Here is an 18,438-nt window from a genome sequence, read left to right as displayed (position 1 = left end):
GAACCCTATTAGTAATATAGTCTCCTTTGGGCCGGGGGTTAGGACATAGGTCACCTGTGGTCCATTGTTACTAACTTCCAAGATGGCTCAGTTCTTTATTTTGCTCCTCCCTTCCTCTATTTAGAGAGGATGATGGACTGTCATGATGGAGGGCACTTAAAAAGTGGATTAAATTGGATCATCCAAGAAAAGTGAAAGGATGTTCATAGGGGAGTGATGGCAGGAGAAATTGGACTTCATCAGGTTGTGGTCCTTCTTGAAAGCATGCATAGAAATGATGAAGACTTCTCAAGGTTCCTTCTAGTGTGATAGTTTCTCATGAAGAGTGCTGAACTCTTAGAAATCTGTCCTAGTAATTAGGAAGTTAATAAATCAAATTGACAGTATTAATCAATATACAAAGCCTTAGCATTGACCTCATATTTGAAACAAGGAGAGTTTTAGCAGCAAATCTTTTACGTGATTTTGAAGCTCTGTTCCAAGCTATAAGAATAGTTCATAGTCTTGTCAGGCTACAATAAATTATTTCACAGATTTAACTAGTATGATACCTCAGATTGTACAATGTCAGCCTGTAATCAGAGAGTTTCAATAGCTAATCAGAGGTTATAATGGAAGAAAATCAAGGTAAAGTCTGCTTTTGACAAGGAATGATACTTTGCTTTTAAATTTTATAGAGGTGATAAAAATAATTTAGAGAAGTTTTTAGCACCTCTCTTAAAAAGAGCTCAAAGCACTTGGCAAATATCAACATATTATTTCTGAGAAAATTTCCTATGAAAGTAGAAGAGAAAGCAATTATTGGGTTGCATAGTTTGTACATTCAGCAGAGAAAATGCTATACGCTGAGTTTCTTTCTTTCTTTTTTTTTTTAAAGTAGCTCATTCTATTCAAGTTCATACAAGTACTTTGGAAATAACCAAGCTTCAAAACCCACACTGGAAATACTAGCGACGAAAGCACCTGGCTTGGGGTCAAGGTATGCCAGCTGTAGTTCTGACTGGCAGTGGGGTCTTGGATAAGTCACTTCATCTTTCTTCTGTAAAGTGAGGATCTTGTTCTAGAAAAGGTTTCTCAACCCCAGGACTATTCACATTTTGAGCTAGATAGTTTTTAGATTCAGGGGGCTGTTATGTGCATTCAAAAATATTTAGCATCTGTAGCCTCTACCTACTATGCTAGTGGCAATCCCCAACCCAACCCCATTATAGCAACTGCATTCCCAAATGTCCCTTGGGAAGAGGGAGGACAGGAAGAGCCCTGCTAAAGTGCCACGGCTTTAAGACACCTCAATAGACTTGCTCTACCTTCTCAGCCTTTTTTCTTAGATGGCCAGATTGTACAACGGTGGCAGGAAAGGATCCTGCATATGGACTCCATAGACCACCACAAGGCTTGCACTTGGTTAGCCACAGCACCCAACTACACGGCACCTTTTTTTTTTTTTTTTTTTTTTTGAGACAGAGTCTTGCACCGTCTCCCAGGCTGGAGTACAGTGATGAGACCTTTCCAGGTTCAAGAAATTCTCCTGTCTCTGCGTCCTGAGTAGCTGGAATTATAGGCATGTGCCATCACGCCCGGCTAATTTTTGTATTTTTAGTAGAGATGGGGTTTCACAATGTTGGCCAAGCTGGTCTTGAACTCCTCACCTCGTGTGATCCACCCGTCTCAGCCTCCCAAAGTGCTGGGATTCCAGGCATGCGCCACTGTGCCCAGCTTACATGGTACCTTTTACTGCAGTTTATTTGGACTCTCTTGCCCTCCCTCATGGCTGGCTCTTGCTCAAAACCATGTTATCACAAATGCCTGGCTCTCTATGTTCTTGGCTTCATTGTTGTGGCCCTAGGCAAGTGGAACCTAGCAACTCTTGGCTTCCTGAAATCTGGATCTCTGGTTGGGATGCAGCTTCCATACATTCTCTGGCTCCTCTCCTTATCTTGAGTCACTCTGAGCAATCATCTTCCTGAAGATCCCAGGAATGTCCCACCTTCTTTTAATTAGAAATTATACATTTCTGAAAAAATTTAGAATGGAAAATTATGACATTTATATTTACAGAAAATGTAAATTTTCAACATTGTGTATCCTTTTTGTTGGTGGTTTGAGGTTAGAAAAGGGCAAAAAAGAAATGTGGGAAACAATGGAAATTTGAAAAAATATAAATTATATGGTGCTTTAAAAAGGTTTCTTTACCATTTATTCAATAAGCCAGTCCTTCATTTTTCTACATCACTGAAATAACCATTGTACTAGGACCTAGTCTGAACACAAAATGTGACCCAAAAGAATTAAAAGCAGGGATTTGAAAAAATATTTGCACATCCATGTTCAGAGAAACAGTATTCACAATCATCAAAAGGTGGAAACAACCCCGATGTCCAACAACTGAATGGATAAACAAAATGTGGTCTATATACAATGAAATATTATTCCACCTTAATAAGGAGTGAAATGCTGATACATGCTACAACATGGATGTAACTTGAAAACATTATGCTACCTGAAATAAACCACACATAATTGGCCGGGCGCGGTGGCTCAAGCCTGTAATCCCAGCACTTTGGGAGGCTGAGGCAGGTGGATCATGAGGTCAGGAGATTGAGACCATCCTGGCTAACATGGTGAAACTCCATGTTAAAAATACAAAAAAATACAAAAAAATACAAAAAAAAATACAAAAAATACAAAAAAATACAAAAAAAAAAATTAGCTGGGCATGGTGGCAGACGCCTGTAGTCCCAGCTACTTGGGAGGCTGAGGGAGGAGAAGCCAGAAGGCAGAGCTTGCAGTGAGTTGACATGGCGCCACTGTGCTCCAGTCTGGGCGACAGAGCTAGAATCCATCCGTTAAAAAAAAAAAAAGGAAAAAAAATATGATTTCATTCGAAGTACCTAGAATATGCAGATTCATAGAGACAGTAGAATAAATGTTACCAAGGATCAAGGAGCGGGGTAATGGGGAGTTACTATTTAATGGATACAGAATTTCATAGAAATGATAAAAAGGTTCTGGAGATGGATGGTGGTAATGGTTGCAAAACAGTGTGAGTGTACTTAATGCCACTGAACCGTACACTTAAAAATGGTTTAAATGGTGAATTTTATATTATGTGTATTTAACATTAATAAATAATAGAAAAGCAAAATGTGAAAGTGAAGATAAATAAGACAGTATTTGGTCTGAAAGTGTGCACAATAAAGAGAAGTTGCATATAGAACTTGGACAATCCCAAAGATGCATGATAAACTGTTTAAGGGGCAACAAAGGAGAGATGCTAGTCTCTGGAATAATTTAGGGCTGAGAAGAGACAAAAATCAGGAGACTGTAAGACTCATATAATGAAACAATGTGTTGAGTATAGAATCATATTTCCTAAATGACAGACTGGATGATCAGGCTGCTCTTGGGAAGTTGCACAGAGAACCTGAGGGACTCAAAAGTCAGTGCGTTACCTAAAACTGAAGCCCGGAGCTAAGTATAGAAAACCCAGGAAGTGCAGGCAAAACAGTGAGGAAGTAAAACATGGGAACAACGCAGAAACAGGACACCTGGCGATACCAGCATGGAGGTTCTGTAAAGCAAGCATTGTGGCTTCCACACCCATGGTGGTCACAGAGCAGGTGCCTAACAGGTGCTTGTTGAATGAACTACTTCTGCCAAATCCACCTTTGTCACCCAGAGCTTCTACTAACTAGTTGTTTTCTCCACATACTGTCACTTGAGACTGTCACAAGAGACAGACAGTCACTTGGTTAAGTGTTCTGAGGGGAGGAACGACTTAATCTTAAGGGGTAAATCGAAGTTTCCTGAGTGAAAAAAGAGGCGAAAGCATATGCCAGTGTGAACCTTGAAAATTTGAGAGATATCTCAGTTAATTTAGAAAGTTTATTTTGCCAAGGTTGCGGATGTGCGCCCCTGACACGGCATCAGGAGGTCCTGATGACACGTGCTCAACGTGGTCAGAGCACAGCTTGGTTTTATACATTTTAGGGAGACATGAGACCTCAATGGACATACGTAAGATGAACACTGGTTCAGTCCAGAAAGTCAGGACAACTCAAAGCAAAAGCCAGAGGACTCACGGGAGGGGGCTTCCAGGTCCTAGGTCCATAAGAGACAAATGGTTGCATTCTTTTGAGTTTCTGATTAGCCTCTCCAAAGGAGGCAATCGGATATGCATTTATCTCAATGAGCAGAGGGGTAATTTTGAATAGAATATGAAGCAGGTTTGCCCTAAGCGGTTCCCAGCTTGACATTTCCCTTTAGCTTAGTGATTTCGAGGGCCCAAGATATTTTCCTTTCACATCAGGGAAAGGAGATGGCATGAGGAAAGTCATGAAGATGTAGGCACATGAGGAAGATTGAGAAGCTACTGGGCCACCGTGTGTGTGTGTGTGTGTGTGTGTGTGTGTGTGTGTGTGTGTGTACACACTGGAGGTGGGGATGAAACTTGAAATCTAGATTGTGAAGGGTTATTACCTTTTGCCTTTCACCTTCTGTAACCACCCAGGCCCTTTGTTGGCTCAGAACACAACAATGTATTATCTATAAGTAGATTTGCTTTCTCATGTCAAGTAATAAGTATGCACACATTATTCACTGTGCTTTGAATGTTTCTAATTTTGTTTTAAGCAAATTTATTAGACTATGAGGAATCTTATATTTCGCAGTCTGTGCTGGATTTTGGGATGTTAGTAAATTGTGAGAACAGAAAAAACTCCACTGCATTCTTCAGCTTTAAAATGAGAATATTAATGTTATTCCCTGGACTCTCATGAGGATTAGCTAAAATAAATGCTAAACACTTTCATGGTTCCTGATACGCAGCTACTGTGCTATGCACGATAGTGATTAGCAATATTCTTATAAAACAAAATTACAGTAGAGCCTCTTTACCTGGCACAATCAAGACTAGTAGTGAACCAATAAAATCCATTAAAGCAGGAAGTAATTAAAATAATACATACAAGTATAAAATATTTTAAATGAAACATAAGTTTTGATCTATTTGCAAAACTTTTGATATATGATCAGAAATGTTTAGGGTGGGTCTTCTGACTGGAATTTCAAATCACCTGCTTTGTATGAACCACACCCTTGATATTTCACTTCCCATTTCTTTAACCAAACAATTTTAAAATCACTGACAAAGCATTCTCAATGTAGAATCTACCTAGATTTTTGTCACACTGAGTGTCATAAAATATTACTTTATGTCGACTTAATTGGACAGCTTTTTTCTCCCTCCCTAGTACAGTTTGCTTCTATTGAGACTTGAAAGTTTTTAATTGATTTTTAAGAGTAACATAGGGGAAGAAAAATCTTTCTTTTCACAGTTAGTGTTTTATTGGCCTTTAAAATATTTAACTAAAATGTAGAAAATAAATTTAGAAAGTAAAAAATAATTAACTAAATTATAGTATGTTACATGTGTTGTAAACAGGTTGGATTGTTAGGAAACTAACACCTCTGATGCTCTACAGTTTCCAATTCAATGGAGTCAGTTGTTAAATGCAGCAAGGGGTGGACCTTGGCTGGCCATGAGCCTCCACGAGGTGTTGGGGAGCAATGATCAGTATCACTTTGGGCCTGGGATTCAGACTGTGGTCCTCCCACCAGCAAAGTCAGCATCACTGGGAAGCTTATTAGACATGCAGGATCTGGACCCTGTCCCAGCCCTGAGAAATTGCATCTTTATTTTAGCAGAATCGCCAGGTGAGTTTCATGTTCAATACAGTTTGAAAAGTTCCTCAAACTTTTAGCAGTTATGACTGGTAAATCTTACAAAGCTCCCTTGGGGAGTTTTGTAAAATCTCTAGAGGCTGCACTCATGATCAATTACTTCAGAGTGTCTGGAGGTAGAAACTCTGCATATTAAAAAAAAAAATCAATCAACAAACCTCACTGGTGATTACAACATGCAGCTAAGGTTAATTTGTTCTCAAACCTGAGGTGAGGCACTTCAGACTTCCCTGGAGAATCTGAGAGGCACAGCTTGCCAGGCCCACCTTCAGGGTTTCTGAGTCTGTAGGTCTAGAGTAGAGCCAGATGATGCTCCTGCAGTTGGTCCAGAGACCTCTCTTTGAAAACCCGTGGTATAGGGGGCAAGCACTCCCTTTAATCTCGAGTTTTAACTAATGTTAGTAGCCTGCTTCAGTGGGGTTATTTTCAAATAGCTTCAGTTGTTGTATGCTTTTGAAGTTAGGGTCATCTTGAGTCAGATACATTTAGATAGCACTTATTTATCTATTTATTTGAGACAGGGACTTGCTCTGTCACCCAGGCTGGAATGCAGTGGTGCAATCATAGCTCACTATAACCTAAAATTCCTGGGCTCAAGCTATCCTCTCACCTCAGCCTCATGAGTAGGTGGGACTACAAGCTCATCACCATACCTGGCAAACTCTCTTTTATAGTAGAAATGGGGTCTCACTGTGTTGCCCAGATTGGTCTCAAGCTCCTCTCATTAAGCGATTCTCCCACCTTGGCCTCCCAAAGTGCTGGGATTACAGGAGTGAACCACCAAGTCCAGCCTAGGTAGCAGTTCATTTTTTAAAAGGAGATACAACGGGAGAGAAAAAGGAAAAACACGTTGAACACAAACATGTTGAAGTTTGTGTGTATGTGTACAAAATATATCTTCATCCAATTGGTCTCATTTTCTGAGCTGTCACTCCTAACACTTTCTTCCTTCTTTGAAGCTTGTTAGCCCAATTTTTTGAAAAGTACAAGTTTGTCCAATTTAAGTACCCCACATTTTTATGTGGTTGGCATATTTTTGAATACAGACCCATTTTTTTTCATGCTGTAGATGGTGTCAAATTCTGAAGGAGGCTAGAAGTAGCTGAAGTGCAAAATTGCATCATTCAAAGTACTTGCACCACATTTTCCTGAAAATCTGCTGGATCTCAGGCTGCATATTCACATCAACCATCTAAACGATTTTTCAAGCATGCTTTTTATTTTATAATCCTGCCAAGCTTAACATATGGAAAGCCTTGTGAATATTTCTTCGGGTCTTGACTCTAGGAGATTTCCAGTAACATGAATTGTCTGGGAAATAAATGTTCTCTAATTTTCAGCTGAGTCTCAAATCTACGTAGCAACACAGTTTAAGCACAATCTAATGCATATACAATTCCTGCTTATCATGAACTAATCCCATTTTACAGAAGAGAACACCAAGTCACTGCAAGATTTTTATCCTGTACTTCACACAGTTGTGTACCATGATCACTCAGGAATTTTACTTACCAGGTCAATACTCTGGAAATGAAATCAGCTTGGCTACATTTGCTGCACGGCAATAGGGTAAAACCCACACAAAATGAGAATAATCAAGCAGCGATTGAAAACAAGTGCTTCGTTTTCTGATAGTTAGAGAGCTCATTGTCAGTAGCTGACTGTCATACACCTGAATCCACACTGGTGGCTCTACCCACAAGTCATGTGGTGTGTCTAGACACCATGTAGCATGACTAAAGGAATCCAAAGGAAAGAAATGTTGCTTAGTGCCTATTGATAGCAGCTTCTCCTCTCTGAGCAAGACCATGACTAAGAGATGCCAATAACATCAGGCAAGACCAGCCTCTCTTTTCAGCCATTTCTACACCTCACTGTTCTGGGCAAAGCAGGTGAGCAGCCCAAAGGTAAGGAGAGAAGTCAAAGATTTGCTTGGTCAGATACAAAAATTCCCAGTAGCTGACAGGCCTGGCAGAACCAGAGTCTGAAAGTGTGGAAAGTCTGCATAGGGTATAGGAACATCAGAATAATAACCCATGGGCAGCAGGAATTCCCGACGGACAGTCGGCCACCCTGCCTTCTTTAAATCAGTAGATGATAGAAGCACTTGACATGTTGAACAGAATAGTCTCAGGAGGAGAGGAAATCCTGAGAATCAGAGCATCACAAATTCAGAGGCCTTTCATTCTGAAAAAAAAAGGTCCCCAGAAATCCATATTCCATCTGTAGGGTGACTTCCCTAGACTGAGACAGAGAGTGAGAGTGAGAGCAAGTGCAAGAGATTGATTTGAAATATACATTGGGAAAGCCACAGAGAAGTCACGAGGATCATGTCATTGTCCTGAGTCTCTAAATTAATTGCCAGGATCTTACAATCCCCTCCTTCTTCCCACTCAGCACCCAATTATCTACTCTGTTCTCTGGGATGTGAGCTGCCTCTGTCTTGTGATTCTATTCTACATCAGCAGGAAGTAGCCAGGTGCTTTCACGGTAGTGAGGATATTTGTTCTTAGAATAAAAATATCCCCGCCATAGAGTAGTCAAGCCTGCTATCCAACTCCCAGCAAACCCTGGACTGTTTGCAGGGACACTGGGTCTTTGAACCGCTTCTGTATGGGTGCTTTCTGGCTTTAGTTCCTGCATTTGCACTCTTAGATTGCTTGTCTGGCTGCCAAGCTTACTGCTTTCCTATCCTTTCAAGTTACGCAGCTCCCTCCTCCACTGCCTGTTTCATCCTTCCCCTGCTGACATGTCCAGTAACGCAGTTCTGAACTATCCTCTAACTGGTCACCAAACACTTTTTCTTTCAACTTGGTCACTAGTTCTGGCTTTATAACTTGGTTCACTGAGAACAGGGAGCAGCACCTAGTGTTGGATTTTATTGACTTTGCAGCCCACCTTCGTGGGTTCAAACCCACCTTTGCCACTTACCTGTTGAGTAAGCCTGGGCAGGTTAGATAATCCCTCGATTTTTCCATTTGTAAAAAAAATCTAATGTTATAACCCACCATATAGAGTTAAAGATTAGGTGGTTAGTATCTCTAGAGGCTTTATGGTGACAACACACAGCTAGCACCACATAAATGGTAAGTACATTGAAATTCCATCTTGGAATTTTACCCTGCCTTTCTCTTATCCCAGAATTACCTTCTCAGTTTTTATTCTCATTTCACAATCTTCTACTACTTGTGGCAATTATAGTTCAAGCCCATTTTCTGAAGCTTTCAGTTCAAGGAAATCTCCAATACACTTAGTCAAGCACTTTTCCCTGGAATTTTAAGACCTTGTTAAGAGAACATTCTTTTATTGCACTCTAAGCATATTACACCAAGCTCTTCAAAATACGGCTTTTGGAAAGCTATTTGGAGTCAAGACCCAGATAGGCTGTTCAAGTCAGCCATGCCCCTAACAGCGATGATGTCAGAAGTCTGCATTTGTCTGCAGGTAGCTAAAGTTTATTCAACTCCAAAACTTTTATCAGTGCCATGTAACATTTTAAAAGGAAACTTTGAACTGATTAGGAATTCTCAAAGAGAAAGCAAGCTCTAGCTCACTCAAGGGATGGAGCCAGGTCAGTTGGATGATCTCTCTATATCCCATAAATCATATAATTCGTACCTATTAAAAAGGACCAGGTATTGGATGGCTCAGTGGGTTTGAGTTACGGAGGCCTTCATCTCAAGGTCATTAGTCTGAAGTCAGCCCACTTTGAGGGGAAGCCTGTAAAATCAGCCCTCCTTGTGAGCCAAAAATGTATTTTCAGTAATCAGTGCTTATGTGAGTCTAAAGGATCATGAAAACTATATCCATTCATTTAACACAGGGCTAATACAAATTACCCTGAGTGTCCATGTTCATCTATTCCATAAATAGAAGAATTTCCATGATAGGGGGAAAAAAGAGAAGAAAAAAATGATAAAAAGAGATTTTAAAAATTTGAGAAAGAAAATTTAAAAAGGGGTACACTTTATGTTCAACTCTAGTTAGAATATGTGCATATAGCACTCTTCCGTAAAGTTGAATGAATGGACTTGGGGCAGTGACCATGGAGAAAGATAAAACTGACCCCAGGAGTTTCATCTGGGGAAGCCAGACTATGATTTGGTAGACCAGTCCCTCTACCCCAAACCCTGCCTCTGGGACACAGACCAGGCAACCCATCTCTACTGTTGTACAACCGCAACACTGCATCAGAGAATCCCTTCCAGCTTTGAAACACTATGAGGCTGGTTAGTATCTTAAATAAATGTAGAATGGGTGCATGTTACCTGTATTACAAGTAGATATGTATAAATAAATAAATTAGAAATCTGCCATTAATAATGAAATCAGTCTTGCCACATTAGGAAAGCTGATCAGTTGTTCAGTAGGAATGTATTTGGTACCCATTGTATGTTAAGCATTATTTGAATTTTGGGAAGTCAGTACTGTCCTCACATGTAATCAGAATCTCTACCTAAATTCTTACAAGAATTGTCTCTATTGTTAACTTGATACTTGCAGTATGTTGCTCTGGGCTATTTTTATGTTGTTACCTTTTACGTGTAGTTACCTTGTCTTCCTTACTAAACTGTAGGCTGCTGATCGATTTAGCTAAGCAGAATAAGAAAACCTTAAATTCTGCCAGTAAGCTGTCACTTCTCCTTGCCTAACAGAATCATCAAAGCAAAGTTTTCAAATTTAAGATGACTCATGAATATATTCTAATGGATTTTGTGTTCTGTCTACTTAGAGAACACCACACATAAACTTGGTTTTTGTATTATGAATATCACCTTTCGAACATGATTTAGAATGGTCCTAAAAGAACTTTCTACCTTGTCAGGGACTTATTGTTCCTTCACACTTTCTAATGGTTATGCTTCTACAATATTTATCATGCAAATAAAGCAATGGATCAGCCATGCAATTAAATACTCAGATGACTTGAAATATAAGCAGCAGAAAATCAGATGGCCTTTTCCTCTGGTTGCTTCAAAGATTCCCATCGATTCTCTATGCTATCCAAAGAGGAGAGAATTAAGTTGGAGAGAGTCACTGATACTGGTAGTTAGTAAAAATACGAATGAAATCAAACAGCACTGATAGACAGAAACATGGGTATGCTGGTGATAAACCTGGGCAGATTGTTAGATATCTATGTCCAGCTACAAAGGTTAATAGTTACACTACTGCCATAAGAAATCATACCTTGACAGTAAAACCTCAGAGGGCTAACACTAAAAAAATTCAAACAGCAGCTGTTATTGCCTAAATGACTAAATGGCCTTAATAAAAATATCAGATAATCCAAACCCAATTAATTCAGAGCTCATTTTTCTGGTCTCTTGCATTTCAAATTAACAAAGTTTTTACTCTACCTGACTGGTAAATGTTTCCTATCACATTCTATTTGCATCTAATTATTTCTTGAGGCACCAGATTTCAGTGGTCTGTGGAGCATGGGTTATTACAGGCTTTCTCCACAGGTGAAGATATCAAAACTGTCAGACCTTACCTGCATTAAGGGTCCATAGTATCGGTGTCACATGGTTATCACATTTCACTGCAAAAGACAGATAATTACCTACTAATAAGAGATAATAAGCTTGTGACATGTGAATATACCAGTATATGTGTGTGGAACACTAATTAATCCCGTTTGTATTGAGTATTTGCTAGGTTTTATAGGCGCACTAAGCTACTTTTTGCAGAAGGTTCACAAGATCTGCCCTCAAGATCCCAGAATGTGTGTGTGTGTGTGTGTGTGTGTGTGTGTGTGTGTGTGTGTGTGTGTTTAGGGTAAGGAAAACAACAATAACCCACACACCAATACTTGGAATTACATAGTGAAAATTCTATTGCATCATTATTGAAGGCAAGGGTTTTCTTATTCTTCATTACCTGCGCTGGTACCTATAACAATTCCCTGAACATAATAGCAAAGCCATAAACATTTGTTAGGGAAATAAAAACATGAATGAAATTTTAAAATGCTAATTAAAAGCTAAATATCAATAAGGCTGTAAGGATAAAGAACAGATATATTGCTGCAGGTGAAAATATTCAGGAAAACTCTAGGAAGGAAGAACTTGAACTGGTTCTTGAGACATAAATAGATCTTGGGAAATTCAGATATACGCCACATAATTCAGCACAAGGTTCTTATTACCTATTAGACACTGTGTTAAACACTTTTAAAAATGCAAATATGAATTATGCCAGGCTCTTGTTCTCTGTGACCTTATAATTTACAAAAGGGCATACAACATAAATAATAAAGCATGTTAGAAGTGCTGTAATAGAGATAACATACAGTATAATGAAAAGTCAGGAGAAGGCTTCTTGGAGGCTGTGTTGGAGGAAATTATTCAATTGAGTTTTAGTGGATTAACAGTAACCAAAAATTTAATAAAAGGAAAAATGGATGGGGAAAAAAATCACTCTGGGCAAGAAGAGATGGAAAAAATGCTTTGTGTTAAAAGCAAGATATTCCAGATTTTAATGTGAATAATGTGCCAAGTAGATTAAATTTTAAATGTGTTTAACAGCACAATCTTTTTATTACTCACTTATTCATTCAATAGATATTATTGAACACTTGTTATATGCCAGGTACTGCTCTAGGCATCAGGGATGTAGGCAGACTAGTTTCCTGAGGAAAGACAAATAATAATCAGCAAGCATCATCAGAAAGATGATGTCAGATAATCAGGAGTTTTCTTAAAAAAATGTAAGAGGGTAAATTATCCTCCACCCTATCCCTATTCCTGAAGCTGTTTGAAAGTACTGTTCTAGAGCCTCAAGTTTGCAAAGAGGAATCATGAGACATAGGCTTGAAAGATGGGATTGGGATGTGGCCTAAGTGTGAAGACTCCAAAATATCACATTAAGTACTTTGCATGGCTCATGCGGAGACACTCATGAGCAAGAAAGTGAAAACAACCACAGCTGTATTTTATTCTTGTGTTCCTGAATCCCTGTGGTTCAGGGCTTGGTCTGACCAATGAACTGTGTGTTATAGGTTCACAATGTGACTGCCCTGACATCCAAGTGAGTGAGCAATGAACCTGTCTCATTAAACAGGGTGTGGAGGTGTTTGGTTGTTGTCAAACTCAAGCATTGAGTTACATGTTGTGTGAGCTGCATACAAGTCAAGCATAGTAGGGCCATAAATCAGTTCATGATGCATTAGACATTCAATAAGAAAACCAACTACAAAATGGTCCTTTACCACAGAGAGTTTGAGGAGCACTGCTTTATGATAAGAACTAGTGTTTATTATGTATTATGTGTGAAGAACTATTATAAATGCTTTCCATGGATTATCTCATTCCATCCTTCCTGTAAACCTATAAGATAGAAACTATTTTCCCTATTTTGCAGGCATGGCACACTTAAATTACACAGGGTCACATGGCTGGGAAAAGTCAGAGCCAGCATTGGAATTGAGCCTCCATGCTTCACCCCTACCCTCCACTGTCTGTGTGTGTGTCTCTGTCTTATGCTAGCCTGAGTTCCTTGAAGTAAAGGCACATTATTTTTTCATCTTTGATCATTTAGCCCTGGGGATATAATACAGGTTTAGGGAATGTTGGTTGAATCATTCAGAAAGAATAATTCGGAAAAAATTTGTGGGATAGAATGGGAAGGAAATGCTGGAGGAGAGAAAAACACACTTTAAAAAGTAGTGGATAAATACTAAGGTGGCACTGATAGAAATCAGGATGGAGAAGGCTTATGAGAAACAGTGCCAAGAGAGAATACACAGGATTTGATAACAGGTTGGATGTGGAAGTCAAGGAAAGAGGGGTCAATGATGATATATTGTATGGAGCTGAGTGATGGGGCAGAGTGAGCCAAGAAAAGGGAAGATTGAGAGAGGTCCGTGGGACATCTAAGAGAAGCCATTCAGCTGAGAGTATACAATACACAATGTGTAGTGCTTTATGTCATATGCACTGATTTAAATTGTATAAAGACCTTCTATAATGGCACCAGGATTTCCTCAAGGGCTTGACAATATGGAATGAAGGGAAGCACTAGGGGAATAGTCCATAAAACTGAGAAAGTGTCAACAATCAGCCATATCACAGAAGTGGGTTTAGGGTTGAAAAGATGCCTATTATAAGGGTGGGGCTAAACCCTCCCAATCCGTTGCTTGACTTCACCACCCTGTACCAGGGTTGGGGTGGTGAAGTCCTTCCAGAGGAGCTACTGGTTGCTTGTACACATCAGCATCCATGAACTGTTATTTTTAAGTGGAGAAACAATTTTCGTTTCCAAAGCTCATGGTTTTTCTCAGAGAATTCATGCCTGCCTGAATATTCTTGGCTCTTTCTAGCTAAGAATGAGTCTACATCAGGTTAAGGGCCCAGAGTGGATGATTTCCCAATATACAATGTCTACGTCAAAGATATATCTTATCTATAAAATGAACAGTCATTTAATTATGTCATGGCCTATGAAAGAACTATGTGGGACTTATCCAGCTTTCTACTCAGTTATACCTGTAATTAGGATGACTCCTGAATTTTCTAAAATTAATCTATTATCCTACTTCATAGTATTTAACATGCTGATCTTTTTTATTCATTTAAACTCCCCTTAAATTGAGCAGAATCTCATTTTCCTTCACAGGACAGTTGACGTGGCTCTTTTTCACTTTACTATATCATAAATCTTGGCAAGAATGCTCAATGGAAAGGAACAGTCCATGGAAGGAACCTTGGCTCAGAGACCCTAGGGAAGATGAAACCAGCTGACAGAAGCCTGGCCTGCATCTCCAGGGAAATTTAACTCAATCTTCTAAAGCTTGGAGAGGTTAGAAGAAAATACTTTGTAAGTTAAGAGAACCCTTTATTTTTAGGGTAAATTTTCTCTATGAGAACAAGACATTTTAAAAGCTGGAAGAGTCAGAGTAAGAAAAACTACAGTGGCCCCTATATCTAGACAGTAACAAAGAATCTGTGTATTTAATTAGCTGGTGTGCTGGGGCTAGAGCAAGATAGCTTAGAAAGGCAATTCCTGAAGGTCATATTTGGCCAGGGGTGATATTGAATTATAGCCACTGTTTGCTATTTTACTGGGAATCAGGAAACCTAAAATTATGGCTCTTCTGTTATTAGGGGCTGAATGTTTACGTCCCTTCAAATTCATCTGTGGAAGCACTAACCCCCAATGTGATGGTATTAAGAGGTGAGGCCTTTGGGTGGGGCCCCCATGATGGAATTAATGATTTTATAAGAAAATGAAAAGATAATCCTCTCTCTCTTTCTCTCCCTGTCTTCCTCCTTGCACATGCAACGAGGAGGGCCATGCAAATATGCCATGAGAAGACAGCTGTCTGCAGACCAAGAAGTGGGCCCTTGCCAAGAACCAAATCTGCCTGAGCCTTGATCTTGGACTTCCCAGCTTCCAGAACTGTGAGAAGTAAATGTCTGTTGTTTAAGCCACCCAGTCTGTGGTATTTTGTTACAGTAGTCCAAGCTGACTAAGACATACGTTAACTTCTGTGAGTTTGGGGGGCTCCATTCACCCTTGGTCTCAGTCTACTAATCTGCTATTAAGGGATTTTTTTTTTTTTTTTTTTTTTTACTAAACTCTAGAATCTCTTTCATTTATGATGTTCTCTAATCAGTCACCCTCAGCTCCCTCCACCCAGACCAGACAAACTTCAGGTTAGTTTGTAGGAGGGTGCTGGAGGTAAGGGAGCAGGGAGAAAAAGACAAGGAATTGTCTTCATTCCAGTGCACAGGTGTCTTCCATTAGCCTTTTTCCTACTATTAAGCCTCAAGAACAAGCAGAACCACATCACATTTTGAGGAAGCTTTTTCAAGGCCAAATAATGGGTAACATATTTGAACAGCGAAGAAAAATAGAAGAGATAGCCTGAGGGTGAGTTTCCTCTCAAATTAAAAATAAATAATAAAGAAGATTACAAAAAAAGAGAAAAAATTAACTTGGAATTCACAGAGAATGATTTCTGAAGGATAATGACTAACATATAATATTCTGTAAAGGCTTCATCCAAAATACACATTTATTCAGGCATTTAATAAATATTTGTTGAGCACCTAGAATATGATGGGCACAATTCTAGACACTAGATATATGATTTCATATATATGCTCATGAGGCTCACATAACACAAACCGAACATCTGATTTTCTATTCACTTATAAAAACAGTTTTTTTTTTACATTCCTTGAATCTTGAGATGAATGTGTTTAGTATGAGGCATCTAGTGAATTTAGCATAGACGTAATACCTGATGGGTAACACCTGATATAAAATGAAAACCCAGGAAAGTATGGGGCAGTTGCACTCTTCAAAAAACTAATGTTTTTAATAGATCAAGAATGCATCCAACATCTGATTAGGAGAATCATTCTTGGTGTCTGCCATAACACCCCTCAGACTACAGGAATCAAGTTGCAGAGAAAAGTACCAAGTAGGGTATTTCTGTTCCATTCAGTTCAGCGAATATTTTAAAACACCTTTTCTGGTGCTGTGAGTTTGAGAAAGGTACAAAAATTAGAGGGACAGCCAGAACCTTACAGATTAGCAGGAAAAGGTACATTTATAAATAATTAAACTCTTGGCAGAATATGCCAAATTCTACAAGAGATGCATATATAAACTGCTACGGGAGAAAAATTTTAAAAAATCTTATTTGGTTAAGGATGAACAAAGCTTCATGAAGTAAGTAACATCTGCATTGAGTTTTGCAGAATTTTTAGAATATCAAGGGGCAAAACAATGGTGATGTTGGGAAGCAAAAAAAAAATCAAGTTGATAACAGGATTTGGTGGACATTTATTTAGCATTTACACTAGTAAGAAATTGCGTAGGACTTTCTTTAAATCTCACAACATCCTCTTACAAAAGCTACATCATCAACTCTGTATCAATCAGGATCTAGCCAGGGAAACACAGTGCTTCCAATATTTATAACAAAGGACGTGTAAAGTAGGAAATGAAACCAGCACAAATATTACCCAAAGCAGAAATTTAACGGAGGACAAAATGGGAGAAGTGGGCTTAGAGGATCTGGGAGCCAGGGTCACATCTTCTAGGGTAATTAAATCACAGAGGAGGCTCAGCTACTCTGGAGATAGCCCCTTAGAAAGGGACAGGAAGAGGAGCCTCCTTGCTTCTCCTTTCCACACATGCTCCTGTCTCCTCCCAGGCTCCTCCTGGAAGCCAATTCCAGTTAGAAGGCAGCTGACCAGACCACCTGGGAATTTCCCACCTGTGGGATCGGGGGTGGACCTCTACAAGGTGAAACAGAGAAGGGGAAGGTCAGAAACATGCCTGTGGAAAAGGAGCACGAACCAGGGTTGACATAGACTCTCTTTACTGATTAAAAAAAAAAAAAAAAAAAAAATTCAAGTGCAGGAAGATGGAGATGACCTGACCCATATCACTCAGCAAATGGCAGAGCTAACATTTGGACTAAACACTAACTGTCTCTCTAATCTTTTCCAAATGTCACAGTTGCCAGTTTCATGAATGCACAGACTACTCATCTGTAGCAGACAGGTTTCTTTGGTGAAGGAATTTGAGGCCATTCCAAGGAATCGGAATTCACTTGTATCGCTCAGAAACTTGACGGAGGAATGGAAGCCATGAGTGGTGGAGCAAGAACATCATCATTCATGAAAGCTCTAGTGAATGTTAGTGAAGAGGGAAGGAAACTCATTCCACTCCACAGTTCCTCACATCCCCATCACACACTTTCCTGCTTTTGTTCACTGGACAAAACAAGAAGAATCTAGGTATAATGGTTCAAAAAGAGAGACAGGCAAGGGCCCTTGGGAGGGACTAGTAGAAAATGTCAGTGGGACCAAAATAGCATCCATCATCTCTCTATCCAGATACAATTAAGACTGGGCTACTTGATGCTGTTACATGTGTTGGCTAAATCTTTAAGGCCTTCTTCCCCTCCTGGGCAAATAATGACAACAGTGCTTTATACATTAGCAACACTTTGCTTGCTGAGACCTGAGCTTGGCCTGCAGATTCTTTAAACATTATTTTAGCAGAGGCCAGAGGTGAAGAGAGGGAGCCTAATTTGCAGGTGAAGACTACCAGGCACTGAGAGGTTAAATGACTTGCCCTGGGTTCCCACAGAGACCAAAGAAGGGGGAAACAAGGAGAGGGATTCAAATTTTTCCCTCTCTGGGCTCTATTCAGCCACTTTAGAAGACCTCATAACAGGAAAAACAGCACTCCCATGGAGAGCCTCCGCAGCCCCTCATTACAGCCTGGAGATCGAAGCTTATTAGCACTTCTCTGGGAGCACCTGCCCAGCACTAAGCAGGCAGGCTGGAGAAGTGCCCTGATCCTCCCTAACCCTTTCATCATTGGGTTTCACTTGATTTTCCACTTTCCCTTCTATAGATAATAAAATGTTCGAGTTAGGAAAACCTTAAGTATTGTCTACTTAAATAACAAGCAGAGAGAGACCCTCTAAAAGAAATTTATTTGGGAATACAGCATTGCAATGAAAATAACACATACCACAGTAAACTATGTTTATATTCAGGGAGATAAAAAAAATGCAAAGGTCTCTAAAAGAAAACTGAAGATGATTACATAATTGTTTTGAAATAATTATGTTTTGCTACAAAGATCAATAATAACAGTAATGCCAGTCCAAGTTTAGACAGGCAAATGCTGGGTAGATGTCCTCACAGATAGAGTTATTTGTAT

General features: G+C 39.5%; 1 annotated feature.

Moving 5' to 3' along the window:
* Positions 17,652 to 18,153: an enhancer, noted in NCBI's record as "NANOG hESC enhancer chr18:49514627-49515128 (GRCh37/hg19 assembly coordinates)". NCBI's record gives its function as "activates a minimal SCP1, AML or CMV promoter by ChIP-STARR-seq in naive H9 embryonic stem cells {active_cell/tissue: H9 hESC(naive)}" and the evidence as "EXISTENCE:reporter gene assay evidence [ECO:0000049][PMID:30033119]".

This window comes from Homo sapiens, chromosome 18, assembly GCF_000001405.40.
Source record: "Homo sapiens chromosome 18, GRCh38.p14 Primary Assembly".
Classification (NCBI taxonomy): Eukaryota; Metazoa; Chordata; class Mammalia; order Primates; family Hominidae; genus Homo; species Homo sapiens.
This window is presented reverse-complemented; position numbering and strand designations above follow the sequence as displayed.